Source organism: Homo sapiens, chromosome 6 (assembly GCF_000001405.40).
Source record: "Homo sapiens chromosome 6, GRCh38.p14 Primary Assembly".
In the NCBI taxonomy this organism is placed as follows: domain Eukaryota; kingdom Metazoa; phylum Chordata; class Mammalia; order Primates; family Hominidae; genus Homo; species Homo sapiens.
Window position 1 is genome coordinate 51,690,167 of NC_000006.12, and position 15,409 is coordinate 51,705,575.

Below are 15,409 nucleotides of genomic sequence, written 5' to 3' on the forward strand. Positions count from 1 at the left end.
GAGGCTGAGGCAGAAGAATCGCTTGAACTCGGGAGGCGGAGGTTGTAGCGAGCCGAGATCATGACACTGCCCTCCAGCCTGGGTGACAGAGTGAGACTCCATCTCAAAAAAAAAAAAAAAAAAAAAAAAAAAAGAACTAGGGAAAATTATTTTTAAATGTACATGGAACCAAAAAAGAGATCGAATAGCCAAGACAATCCTAAGCAAAAAGAATAAAGCTGGAGGTATCATGCTATCCAACTTCAAACTATACTACAGGCCTATAGTAATCAAAACAGCATAGTACTGGTACGAGAACAAGACACAGACCAATGAAACAGAAGAGAGAACCCAGAAATAAGACCACACACCTACAACTATCTGATATTTGATAAACCTGACAAAAACAAACAATGCAGAAGGGATTCCCTATTCAATAAATGGTTCTGGGAGAACTGGCTAGCAACAGGCAGAAGATTAAAACTGGACCCCTTCCTTCACCATATACGAAAATTAACTCAAGATGGACTAAAGACTTAAATGTGAAACCCACAACTGTAAAAACCCTGGAAGAAAACCTAGGCAATACCATTCAGGACACAGGCATGAGCAAAGATTTCATGACAAAGACACCAAAAGCAATTGCAACAAAAGCAAAAATTGACAAATGGGGTATAATTAAATAAATAGCTTCTGCACAGAAACAGAAAATACCAACAGAGTAAACAGTCAACCTACAGAATGGGAGAAAGTTTTTGCAAACTATACTTCTGACAAAGGTCTAATATCCAGCATCTATAAGAAACTTACATTTACAAGAAAAAAAATCCCATTAAAAAATGGACAAAGGACATGAACAGACACTTTTCAAAAGAAGACATACATGCAGCCAACAACCATATGAAAAAAAGATCACCATCACTGATCATTAGAGAAATGCAAATCAAAACCACAATGAGATACCATCTAACACCAGTCAGAATGGCTATTACTAAAAAGTCAAAAAATAACAGAAGCTGGCAAAGTTGTGGAGAAAAAAGGAATGCTTATATATTGTTGGTGGGAGTGTAAATCAGTCCAGCCATTGTGGAAGACAGTGTGGTATTCCTCAAAGACCTAAAGACAGAAATACCATTTGACCCAGCAATCTCATTACTGGGTATATACCCAAAGGAATATAAATCATTCTATTATAAAGACACATGCATGAATATATTTGTTGCAGCACTATTCACAGTAGCAAAGACATAGAATCAACCTAAATGCCCATTAATTATAGCTTGGTTAAAGAAAATGTGGTACATATATACCATGGAATACTATGTAGCCACAAAAAAGAATGAGATCATGTGCTTTGCAAGGACATTGATGAAGCTGAAGGCCATTATCCTTAGCAAACTAACATGAGAAAAGAAAACCAAATACTGCATGTTCTCACTTATAAGTGGAAGCTAAATGAGGGGAACACACAGACACGTAGACAGGAACAACAGACATTGGGGCCTTTTGATGGGTAGAGGGTAGAAGAATTAAGAGGATCAGGAAAAATAACCAATGAGTACTAGGCTTAATACCTGGGTGACAAAATAATCTGTACAACAAACCCCCATGACATAAGTTTACCTATGTAAAAAACCTGCACTTGTACCCCTGAGCTTAAAAGTTTTAAAAAAGTGGGATTCGATTAAGTAAATTATCATTGATGTGCCTTTCAGCATTCACCACCAAAAGTATTTTATCACCTAGAGATCACCAAGCTACTACCCAATCTAATGGCAAACGCTGGCTCTTTTCATTTCTTACGAACCCTCCATCTCCAACATACTAAACAAGGAAACTTGTCTCTCCAGTCAAACCTCCTTCTTTTCCACATTCACTCTAGTCTTCAGTTGTTCAGCCCTTTCTGGGCTTCCTCCCATTTCATACCTAACAGCAACTCCTTTCTTCATCATTCACTTAATGCTCAAATAAGTATTCTCACTCCTCCCAATCTCTCAACCTTCATTCTTCTCCCATGTTCACATTGAAAATCCCCAGTTCTTGGCAAAGCTATGTATCCACTGCCATCACTTTTGCTTCTGGAAAGTTTAAGAATTCTGTAGAAAATCACATAATTCACACACACACACACACACACACACACACCACTGAGTTCTGTGTCATTTGGTGCTATCACAAATGCTTTATTTCCAACCTTAATTGAGCCTTCAGTACTAATCAACTCATCTTCCATTCATCTCTAGTTAAAATTCTTTTCTGTTCAAAGTTTGACCTCTTGCTATTCTTCTACCTCCATGACTTAGTCACTGATTTCTCAAACAAATCTGAGGACACTTTTACCAAAACCTTTTAAAAATATTCACTCTTCCTTACCTCCCTCCGACATGGTTATTCTTCCTTTTCCCTAGGTATAGTTTCTACACAAGTGACCTTGTCCCAGTCTACTCCTCCTTGAACATCACAAGTTAGTCTCGTCCATTTTTTTCCCATTTCTTAGATGTTCAAAATTCTTCCCATCAACTGACAGATGCATAAGTTTTCTATATAATAAACATCACCTATCTTTTTTTTCCACTTACTGTCAAACTCTTTGAAAAGCTAAGTTTTCTTATGGTTTTGTTTTATATTAGTATTTATTGTTTAATTTTTCTCATGTTTTTGATAAATCTCAATCCACTGACATCTAGATTTTGCCCCAATCACTCTGTCAACACTATTCTCAGTAATGTTATTAGAGGCCTTTATTTTCTGATTTAATCATTTTGACTTAATTATAACATTTTTTGCTGTTCTTGAAATGTTCTTTGGATTTAACTCTTAGGGCATCACTATCTCCTTATTTCTCTCTTATCTTTGTTTCTCCTCAACTGTGGTATGTATTGTTGTTTTTTGCTGTTTTGGTGGCTTTCCTTGACCTGATCATTTATGAAGTGGTATTCTTCAGGGTTCAGTTATTTGTCAACACATATGTCCCCTGCACAAGTGCACATTCATACACACACATAGAAAGGGAGAGAGAGATTCATGTACTAATAGGCCCCAAAATCATCATCTGTCCTGAATAACAGAACTGTATTCTCAGCCACTTTTCTCTATGAAGGCATTTCACACATGGCTCAAACATAACACTTTCCCATTGGCCCTCCATGCCTCCATGTGAACCATATACTTACTATCTACTACTTAACAATTATTTGACTTAAGAGACCCAGAAAACAAATGGCTTATGTATGCCTTATTATACAGGCACGTTTATACAAAAAGATTTCTTTAGAACAACTTCTAACATTTACCTAGAACTGACCATGTGCCTGGGACCTTGTGAAGTGGTTTACAAAGATTGTAGCAAATCTAATCATTACAATAAACCTAAATAGTCCATGTTATTTTTATCTCTATCAAGATGTAGAGATAGACTAAAGAGAAGTTCAGAAATTTGCTGAACAAATAAGTGATGGAGACAGAAAACCCATCCAGCCCAGCTGGTTCAGCGGATGAGATTGCCTCCAGAAGACAATATGGGCAGCTTCATTAAAAACATGGGATGGCAGTGGTATAGCCATTACCTCCTTTGCTCATTGAAAACAATAACAACAATAATAATACCAGATGACATGTACTGAGTGACTGAGTGCTTACAATGAGACAACTGCTGTTTTAAGTGCTTTATAAGCATTAATTCATTTAATCTCCACAATAAAAAGGTATTACTATTACTCCCATTTTACAGATGAGGGAAATGAGGCATATAGGGCTTAAGCATCTTTTTCACTTTTAAGTAGCTTGCAGAAAGTGAACCCAGGCAATCTGATTCAAACCCCCTGTCCTTGACCTCTACATTATATTATTTTACTATATAAACAATTAGTTAAGTTTCTTAAAGTAGCATTGAGTGCTGAGTCCTAGGTACCCCATTCCCGCCTCTCTTACCACCTCACCACCACCACCATGCCACCTGGCTTCATCTTAATAATTAATATTCTTGCTGTTATGATGCTTTTTTTTAAATTTTCTCCCTCCTACCTGCTTTCAGCTTGTTAGTTTTTAACAATGCCTGCAAATGTTTTCTTTCTCAGTTCCAAAAAAATTCTACTACATTCTGGTCTCATCCTGGATAATCTAATTTTACTGATCTTTTTCACAAGCCACACCTCCACCACACCAGCAAAAAAATGAACCACTTAAAACCACTACCACTCTTCCATATGGATTTCTTTTTTTAATTAATTCATTAAATTTATTTATTTACTTATTTTGAGATAGAGTCTTTCTCTGTTGCCTAGGCTGGAATGCAGTGGCGTGATCTCGGCTCACTGCAACCTCTCCCTCCCTGGTTCAAGCAATTCTCCTGCCTCAGCCTCCCAAGTAGCTCAGATTACAGGTGCCCGCCACCACAACCAGCCTTTTTTTTTTTTTTTTTTTTTTTTTTGGTTGAGACCAGGTTTCACCATGTCGGCCAGGCTGGTTTTGAACTCCTGACCTCAAGTGATCCACCTGCCTCAGCCTCCCAAAGTGCTAGAATTACAGGCATGAGCCACTGCACCCAACCTTCCATATAGATTTGTAAGTCGTGAGTAACCACAAAATTTTACTGTTCAAATCAAGAGTTGGTGCTATTACAATTATGTTGGGACTGTGTGTATAAACAGACTGTGCTGAGTAAACTGAGTGGTACAGTCACATCACTTCTGACCCACAGAAGACAACACAGCTGTACTGCCACATTGTCACTGCAGAGATTTCCTTGCTAACAGATTTCCCACTGACAATGATATTATGGTTTCTTCCAATGGCACTGACTATAAAAAAAATTGGAAATTCTGCTGGGATCTATGAATAACAACAAGCACAAAGAAAACAATGTTGCCAAAATTTTAAAACAAAAATTGAAGAATAAAGGAATAAGATTTAAGGTTTTAAGTCTATTATAACCAATGGCAAGTAGACAAAGCTGAATAAAAATGGACTTAAAAGTATTTAATAATATTTCTTTAAATCAGCAGGATTTAAAGAACAGAGACCTTACTTCTTAAAGTCTTTTCAATAAAATCCACAGTATAATCTCATTGAAAACACTCATCTTGTTAAATAAACATTATCTAATGAACAAAGGATTTTCTCAAAATCCTTTCATATCTTGTTATTCTCAAGTATAAATTGAAGCTTTCAACTTGTCTTTATAATGTAACCTCAATCTCAACCCTCTAACCCTTCTCCATAGCACTTAATACTGTTATTCCTGAAACATAAATATTGCTTTGCCAGAGAAGAAGAAGAAAAATGAAGAGGAGTAGGAGGAGAAGAGGAAGAAGAGGAGGAAGAAGAAGAGGAAGGAGAGGAGGAAGAAGAAGAAATCTTTAAGTCCATAGTTTATTAAATTGGTAGGAATCAGGACATAATTTGTATCTATGTAACATATTCCTAGGATTCATTTCTATAGTTATTCAGCTTGAAGCAGTGTTGTGTTTACCTGACACTCAAAAACTGATACTCTTGACACTCAGAGAAAGTTATTTTATAGGTTATGAAAATGATGACTGATGGCTGCCTTATATCCTTGGTTTAAAATAATAACAACATGGATATATGTGAATATCTCTGAAAAATATATTAACAATAAATTTCTACGTTTTGTAGAGGCTAAAAGGTAGAAAAAATTCTTTATGTAACAGGGATTCTAAATGAAATTTTTAATTCCCTCTCTTCCCCCCTTTACTATCTTGTGTCTGTTGTACATTTGAATACGAAGAGCAGAAGAAAAATGGCACAAGCCCAAAGTGAAATTTTGAGGTAAGAAAAGTTTGCGTTGATGGTCCTTTTGCTTCTTGAAAAATAACCTGTTCCACACTGGGGCTCCCAAAACTACATCTATTTCTTCAGAAGAAAGAATCTGTCATCTTTATTTGAATTGTAATAAAAACTTCTTCTAAGAAGCTAGCACTCAGTTTGCATTTACAAATATGAACATTTAAAAAATCTCTAGTTGTGGACTGAAAGGAATTAAAGCACCAAGTTTCAAGCAGTGCTGTGGTTTTTAGAAAAGTCTCTTCTCATTGTTTGCAAACCTGTAGCACTTGGAAGGCTACTCTGCAGCCAGTTCTGCTTTAAAGATTTGGAAGTGATGGGCAGACACAAAGTCAGCAGAGAATGGTAGCTGATCTTTAATCATAGATACATCAGTGATCCCTGGAAAGAAGAAAATGGGGCTGAAGCTTCCAGAAGGTTAGTTCTCAGAAGCAGTAGAGCAAGGTTCACGAGAGCCATCATGAATATCACCCAACTAAGCAAAAATCTGTCCAAATGTCTAGAAAGTGGCTATCTTAAGTCTCAAACCAAGGACTGAGAAACTCAACCCCTTCTGTGCAACCTCCCCTGATCCATTATGTAATCATCTCCTGCTCCAGAACTCTTACCCTACTGTTTTCTATCTCATTATAAAGAGTTTATTTTCAGAACAGAAAGAGACAAAGCAAATGGATATCCTGCTCTAAAATCCATGAAGTTTAATAGGATCAACAGCTAAGGATGGGATGAGCAAGCCAGGTTAGAGGTGGAACACAGGGGAATGTGGCCCTAGAGAACTGTGCGTGGGATAGAGCCCCAGCTGATGGGATATGAGGTCCAGAAACTACGTGTGTCATTGATAGTGGGAGATGGAAAAAATAAACCAAACTGACGACCAATCCTTGAAAATTAACTGTAAAAGAGAAGAGAGGAAAACAGTATTTAGTCTCACAGGTTTAAAAGGATACTCATAATTGGGCCTGGTGTGGTGGCTCATGCCTGGAATCCCAGCACTTTGGGAGGTTGAGGTGAGCAGATCACTTGAGGGCAAGAGTTTGAAACCAGCCTGGCCAACATGGTGAAACCCCATCTCTACTAAAAATAGAAAAATTACCCAGGCATGGTGACACGCACCTGATGTCCCAGCTACTCAGGAGGCTGAGGCAGGAGAGTCGCTGAGGCAGAGGTTGCAGTGACGTGAGATCGTACCACTGCACTCCAGCCTGGGCAACAGAGTGAGACTCCGTCTCAAATAAATAAATAAATAAATAAATAAATATAAAGGATACTAGTAATTGTCCTCTTAATGAGTGCTTTGGATGTGTGCCTAACCAAACACGCTGTGAGGTAATTGTAGTGCATGTCATGAAATTTGTGTTAGATTAGCATTTATTTGCAATTACTTTGATTACAATAATTGCAATCAAATCTGATTGGAGAGGTCTCTTGTGAAAATCCCATCAACACATATTCTGCACCTACCATGTTCAAAGTATTATGCTCAATGCTGAAAACACATTCTCCTCACTTCAGAATGGGGGCTGTCAACCTTGGCACTTTTGAGATATTGAAGTGGAAAATTGTATGAGGCTGTTCTGTACATCATAGGATATTTAGCAGCCTCCCTGGCCTCCATCCACTAAACGCCCATAAGTACACCCCCGTGTCCCCAGTTGTGGCAACTGAAAATATCTGCAGACATTGCCAAATGTCCCCGAAGGGCAAAATCATCCTGGTTGAGAAGTCAGTGCTACAGAGGGATTCTTCACATACCCTGTTCTTAGGTTTCTTACTGCTCTTGCAGCATGGCTGACTTCTTATCATTTTAACACCTCAGCCAGAACTCTGACTATAAACAACAACAGCAAACATTCTTATTGAGTAGGATGCCCAAATTTCAATTCCTGGGCATTTGCAATATGGCTTGTCTCCTACCTGGCATTTACTTTTTTTAAATCCTCATTAAGAAGTTGTAAACACTAAATACATTGCTGTTGGCACTAAAACAATGCTTATACATTCAACAAATACCTAGGAGATAGGAAGTAAGGAAAGGATCACATTATATTAGCCAATTAAATCATCCCTTTCTTAACGAATCAAGTCATCTGTTAGAAAGTAAATGGTACAAAGTAACTGTGTTAAGAGTTATCAATGATCAATTATTTGGAAATAATTCACTCAGAGACCACTAAACAGGTCTGAACAGCCATATTACAAACAGGAAGAGGCTGATTTGCTTTTCTTATAAAATGTTGAGGTTCTAGAGGTATAAAACCCATTAGACTAGACAGAATAATTGTATTCCCATTCGTACAGACTCATTGCAGAGTAGAAAATCAAATCCTTGGGAATCAGATGAAGTATATCATAGCATTCTTAATTATTTGGGATCTAACCAGAATCATTAAAATGGTAAAAACAAAATTATATTTTAAAAGTACAAAAAGAATTTAGTTATGATTATCATCAGCATGGGTTTCTCATCTACACTTCAACAATGAGATTAACACTACATGAAACACTGGTCTAATGCTTTACAAGAAAGAGTTAAACGTCCCTCAAAAGCTTCAGATAATTACCTAAGCCAGAAGCAAGATGTTAGACTAGGCAGACTAATGATCTGATCTAGGATGGTAATTCCCATGGTTCCTAAGGAGCACAAGCATCAATCATTTAATAAATACATGGTTTCCAGTGGACTCCAGAGTGGGTGAAAAAAAATCTCAGCAGTAAGAAAATAGTCCAAATTTTCCTGGTGTATCAATATGTATGTCGCTTAAAGCAAGTCTATTTCTAACATAACACATTTCTAATCTTTCTTTCATATGCTATTATATTAATTAATGCAAGAATCAGTGCCAGAGGGGGAAGTCCCCATAAATGGACAATAAAGTGATGGGTTTTAACAAGATCTCGCAACTCTGCGTTTTGAATAATTATAGGCAAATATCCTTTTTGATCATAACTACTTCATTTCTTTTTAAAAAATTATACTGTAGCTGACTTTTCTACCTTTCCACCTCTCAGATAACTATATCATGGCTTTCAAAACCCATGGTCTCCAGTTATGAAACACCTAAGAAGATTCCACTTGACTCTAAGTAAGCCTCAGTTGGTTAAACAATTATCCAAATCTGAGAGATTTTTAATTTCATTTCTGAATTCTCATATGGTAATTTTTTTCTTTTGTTGTAAAGTTCTATGAAGTTCAACAAATGTATACAGATTCATATAACTACTACCATAATCAGGACAAAAAACAATTCTCTCATCTCCCAAAAGTCCCTTGGGCTACCCCTTACAGTAATACCCTCACCACACCCATATCTCTGGCCACCACTGGTCTTTTTACTGTCTCTATAGTTTTTCCTTTTCCAGAACGCTACGCAGTTGCAATCATACAGGATGTGTAGCCTTTCATACTGGCTTCTCTCACTCTGCATGTCTGAGAATCATCCAAGTTGTTGCATGTATCAATAGTTTGTCCCTTTTTACTTCTCAACACTAGTCCACAGTGTACTTATCCACACTCTTGATGAAGGATATCTGGGTTGTTTCCAGTTTTTGACTGTCACAAATGAAGCTACTATGAATGTTCATTCTTCTAAAAATTTTTGTTGAATATAACTTTTTATTTCTCTAAGGTAAACAACCTGGACCAGGGCTGCCAGGGCGTATGTTAAGTATATATATAACTTTATAAGTAACTGCCAAACTGTTTTCCATAGTGTATGTATACTTTTGCACTCCTACCAGTAAAATTCTCTAAAATTGGGTTATATAATGTGACAGAGGAAGCTGTAATGGTCATAAATGATTTGTTTATTTCTTTTTGTATCTGTGCTAACTATAAAATGTGCTCCATGCTTTTTGGGCTATTACGAAGATCAGAACCACACTCATTAATTCAACAAATATTTGGCGAGAACTATTATGCTGGGAATAGTATTAAATAGAACAAATTTGGCCTCTGGAATATATATATGGAGTGTGTGTGTGTGTGTGTGTGTGTGTGTGTGTGTGTAAAAACAGTAATTTATTATTACCTGAGTAATTTTTCATTCTAAGGATGTATATAGAGTATATTAGCTAAAGATATTTTAGGAGAACTTGGCCTTGTTTTGATCAATTCTAGGTACATCTCATAGGAAGCATAAATAAAAAACATTAACTATGCTATAATTCTGATTTAATAACAATGAAATTACCAAGTGTTCCTGAGAAATTGGTACAAATTAGAAACTAATTAAAATATAATACAAATTTTAATAACTGAACAAGAAACTTTGATTCCAAGATCTAGAAAAAGCAAATTTAGAATGCAGACAGAATGAGAACTATGAAAGGTACTTTAAAATATCAAAATTCTTTTGATAAATGGAGAGAGTATTTGAATGTCATCAATGGCTAACACTCAATTCCCCTCTCTGGCTACACAACCTCACCAAGCTCAATCTCCTCCCCACCTTCTTTCTCTGAAAGTTCACCCTCTTGTCCAGATTCCCAGTATTCCATCTCCTTATTAAGGCTCATTCTAGGATTTTCATTCTCTAATTCCTCTGGATTGATGGGTCACTGCCTCAAGATCATACCTGCAGCTTCCAAGTGGAAGACAATAGCACCCCCCAAGGATTGAATCTCTCCCCAGCTCAGACTACTAGTTTACTGCACCCCAGCCCCTCATTTGGGTCATCCAGAAGAGGAATCTGAGATTAATATCTAACTTGTGATTCGCCAAGGAAGGGAAAATAAGCCAAAACCATTCTGTATGCACTTAACATTGCTTTCTTTGGTAAAATGCAGCCCATTACCTGAAAAGCCTCTGAAATTTGCAGAGAATTAAAAAACCCCATGCTTATATAAAAGGCTGAGTCATTTTCTAAGAGTTAGGCAAGCAACTCAAAGAGTTCAACTGCTAACAAGATTGTTCAGAAATGAAGTCGCCTGAACATAATCAGTCCACCCTAATTGATTGCATACAGTTTTATTACATAACTGATGGTTCTAAACCCCAGCCAATTAGTTTGTCAAACAAAGATTAAATTCTTGACTGGTTTATTCAAGTTAAATTTAGGAAGGATTCACAATAGAACCCACCTTATCCTGGCAGCTGAAAATGTACTCTTTAACAACTAAAATTATTATGGGACTTTCCTATAACCAAAAACAGAAAAAGAGAAAAGTTTCATTGAGATATAAATTTTGAATAACTAAAACATTAACTCTGGGTTGTATTTTATCTAATGCAATTTCCTTTGCTATATAGTTTCCTAATTTTGAGATCTTTTTAAAAAAATTTTCATGGTGAGTATCACTGGTAATGCCATATTCGAAATTATTAAACTAGAATTAAGCAAAAAATTAGCCTATTTGGCCTGACATTGATTCCAAAGAATCTCTTAGGCTGCTTGAGTCATTATTGCCAGTCAATCATTCACAGATGTCACCAACTTCTAATGTTTGGTAAAGAGTTAAGTCTGTCCAAAGATTCTGACATTTATTTCTGAGCATATTCCTCATAGTAGAGCCAAGTCATTTAAAATAATCCTCATTATAAATGCTCATGTTTACATTGCATTTTTAGCATTCCATTAGTTAAATTCCAGTATGATAAAGCAAAATATTTTCCTAAAACTGGGCAGCTAGAGAAATAAATCAATTAACCAGTTTTCATTAAGCACCTGTTATTCATTCAGCCCTATGCAAAGTAAAACAAGATACAAAAGAAGGATTAGAAATAGATATAGGTGAGACACAGAATTCATGATTTCAATGTCCAGGCTAGTGTTAAATATTGCATTGGAAAGATTTTTAGAAACTAATTTTTTCTCCAACTTTATATAAGTTTATATTAGTATTTTATAGTGCAGAAGTCAGCAAAATTTCCATAAGAGACCAAAGAGTAAGAATTTTAGGCTTTGTGGCCAAGAGGAAAAATCAAGGATATTATGTACACACTTATTAAAAGAGAAAATTAATTTCCACATTTTTATTGATAAAATTCAAAAATTATATCATATTAATCATATCTCAAACAATAAAATTTGTGGAAGTAATTACTATGTTTTATTTTATAAGACCTCAATACAGAATAGAGAAGTCATTATACAAGAAAACTACTTGCACACACATGTTTATAGCAGCACAATTCACAATTGCAAAAATATGGAACCAGCCCAAATGCCCATCAATCGAATGGATAAAAATACATATTATTATATATTATATATATTATATGTATAATATATAATATATTATATATATTATACGTATAATATATAATATATTATATATATGTCATGGAATACTACTCAGCCATACAAAGGAATAAATTAGTGGCATTTGCAGTAACCTGGATGGAATTGGAGACTATTATTTTAAGTGAAGTAACTCAGGAATGGAAAGCCAAACATTGTATGATCTCACTCATAAGTGGGAGCTAAGCTATGAGGATGCAAAGGCGTAAGAATTAAACAGTGTATTTTGGCGACTCAGGGGAAAAGATAGGAGGCAGGTGAAAGATAAAAGACTACAAATTGGGTTCAGTGTACACTGCTCGGGTGATGGGTGCACCAAAATCTCACAAATCACCTCTAAAGGACTTACTCATGTAACCAAATACCAACTGTTCCTCCAAATAATGAAATTACCAAGTGTTTCTGAGAAATTGGTACAAATTAGAAACTAATTAAAATATAATACAAATTTTAATAACTGAACAAGAAACTTTGATTCCAAGATCTAGAAAAAGCAAATTTAGAATGCAGACAGAATGAGAACTATGAAAGGTACTTTAAAATATCAAAATTCTTTTGATAAATGGAGAGAGTATTTGAATGTCATCAAATAAGAAATTAAATAATAAATTAATAAATGCACTGTTAAAAGAGAAAGAAAAAGGAATAGATAATTCAAATGTACCAAATTTTTTCTGGGATTCAGAATTATCAGAAATCAATTTTTTTTTTTTTTTTTGCTTGCGGTTACCTTCAATTAAATAGGTGTTAAGCTTTCCTGTAGTTTGTTCTAGATAACAAGGAAACAAAGATAAATGGCCCCCTGCCCTCAAAGCACTAAAATGTAAGAGGAAAAGACAAATAGACAAAGCACAATGATGGCATGTAATGTGTGCTGCAATAAATGTCTGTATACAGAGTGCTCCATAAACATTTATAGAAAGTGCTACATAAACAAAGATGAAGGACTTATGAAAATATTGTTGAAGGTTTATCTAAAAAGGTACATTTCTCCCCTTGTGGTCTTAGTAATAAAAACGCTGGGCCTTCAGAGTGTCTAATTGATTGAGGATCCTTTTGTTGCTTCTGAATGATGGTTCTGATCTGTTTTCATTATATATTAATAGCTTTATAGTGGTGGGTGTTCCAGTAATTTGCTTGAATCAGAAGGGACTGTGAGGATACAGTCAAGAAGTACTTTATTTCTATATTTTTTTTACTAAGTCTATCACAGTGCATTTTCTTTTCTCCTGGCAATTATGATTCTGGTTATTTGAGGGCTCTAGTTAATGGAGAACTTCCCCCTAGCAGTCTCAAGCACTAAAATGAGGATTGACAAAAAACAAACAAACAAAATCCAGATTATTCAATATAATTCCAAGCCAGAAGAAGGAGGGGAATAACTATAATTTTATTATCTTTTTTTAAACCAGTGTGCCATACAGTAGGCAATGAACTACCAAAGCCACATACTTATTATCTAAATTCAGAAGGAAACCAAAGTCTCAAGTCTCCTCTCTCCCAAGGAGGTCTGTTGTAAACTATGACCTAAAATGTAGCAACATGCCTGATTGATGACATATTAAAGAATCTTGCAAACTTTTCTCTTCAAATATCAACTACATGATGACTTCAGCATCTCCCTGTACTACACCAAAAGGATGCAGATGGTACACATTTTGTGTTTTAATTCCTGGAAAGCTCATCTGGAAATAAACATAAATATAAGTCAAGATGCTCTACTGTTTTGGAGGGAATGCAGACCATTCACATTTCTGCTCCAGTGATCCTCATTTGAAGGGTAGCTAGTTTATTTCCAAAAGTCTGTTGCTACCTCAGAGTCACATCAGCCATGCCAATACTGACAGGAGGCACTAATGAGATCAGAATAGCTACATCTTCTATCTTTCTTTATCCTCCCTCTGACAATTTTAGTCAACCAACACCTGTAGAAAGGGAGTTTACTCTGCAATCTCTTCTGGCATGCAATCTATTTTCTAGATTGGTAAATAAAGCATAGACACCCATCAAACGAAAGACAAAACCAGAATAACATATTGCCCAGAGGTACAGAGGCCTCAAGCAACAAGCAGTGTTTATCATACTGCAAAGGAGAGTGGTACCTGAAAAGGAGACCAGAGTCTTGTGATAGAGGTTAGATTACAAAGCACATCAAATGTTATACCAATGAACTGAGATTTTCTTCTATAAGATAAAGGGAAGCCAGTACAAGTTTTATACAGACACTTACATAATCAGATTAACATTTTAGAAAAGAGCACTTCTTTCTGTAGACTGTGGAATTATAGACATTTAGACTAGTAAAAGAAGAACAGTATTTACTGCTATAGCTCAGGTAAAAGCTCACACCAAAGCAGTAGCAAGAAAATTAAGAAGAAAGGATGGATTTAGCAGCTATTAAGAAGAAGAACTTTGCAAGTCTTTGTGACTCTGTGAAGGATGGAACCGAGGGAGGTGCAGTCAAGGGTGACTACTAATTTGGGAGACTGGGTGGAGAGTGTACTGTTGAAAATAAGGCATTCTAAAACAGGTGGAACAGAGATGTTGTCTAGGTAAAATAGTTGGATATTCAGATCTGGAGGTAGTGGATGAAGGGTAAGACTAGGTTAGAGATAGGGATTTGGGATCTTCATCACAGACCTGATAGTTGAAGGCCTGGGCTTTGATAAGATCAGGAGGAGAAAAATTAAGAGGAAAAGGAGAAGGCAGTTAAAGACAAACTTTAGAGAATACTAACATTGGAGGTATAGGTAGAAGAGGATTCAGAGGGAGAATATGAAGAGGAGGCAATGTCTGAGGTAGTGGTGGCTCCCAAACTCCTATTTCAAAAGGACTGAGATCAGCAATGAGGTCAGAAGAGGGCTTGAAGATTTGTTTGCATAGTAGAGTATTTAATCAAATAATTGAGAAAACTCAGTTGTCCATATCAAAGAATGAGGGCTGTTGTGGACATTATGTTCCCAACCCAGCTCCACCTTTCAGTTACTACAGTACCGAGAAGTAGAAGAACCAGGAGAGTGCACTGCCTTGAAAAATCAAAGGAGGATGGGATTTTAAGAACCAGGGAGTGGACTTGGTGTCAAATTCCCCAGAGATCATAAAGTAAGGACAAAATACCAGTCAATTTAGCAATGACTAATGTTTGCCAGTGCAATTTCAGTGAAGTGATGAGGGGAAAAGCCCATGGCAGTGAGGAGAGGGTGAGTAAGAGGTAAGGAAGAGTCAATGTGGGCAGACCTCTTTAAGAAATTTGACTATGAAGCAATGAAGAAGAATATGACAGTAGCTCCAGGGGGATTCTGGGTCAAAGAGCCTCAAAAATAGTTTGACTGCACAAGTAGAGACCCTGTATTAGAGCTACTCCTCAGAACTCCACGATACACCTG

At 36.2% G+C, this 15,409-nt stretch overlaps 1 protein-coding gene across 16 annotated transcripts in view; it reads right to left on the minus strand.

Annotated features, from left to right (window-relative positions):
* The window catches only part of PKHD1 (PKHD1 ciliary IPT domain containing fibrocystin/polyductin), a 472,317-nt gene that overhangs the window by 74,868 nt on the left and 382,040 nt on the right, over nucleotides 1–15,409 (minus strand). The window lies entirely within an intron of this gene.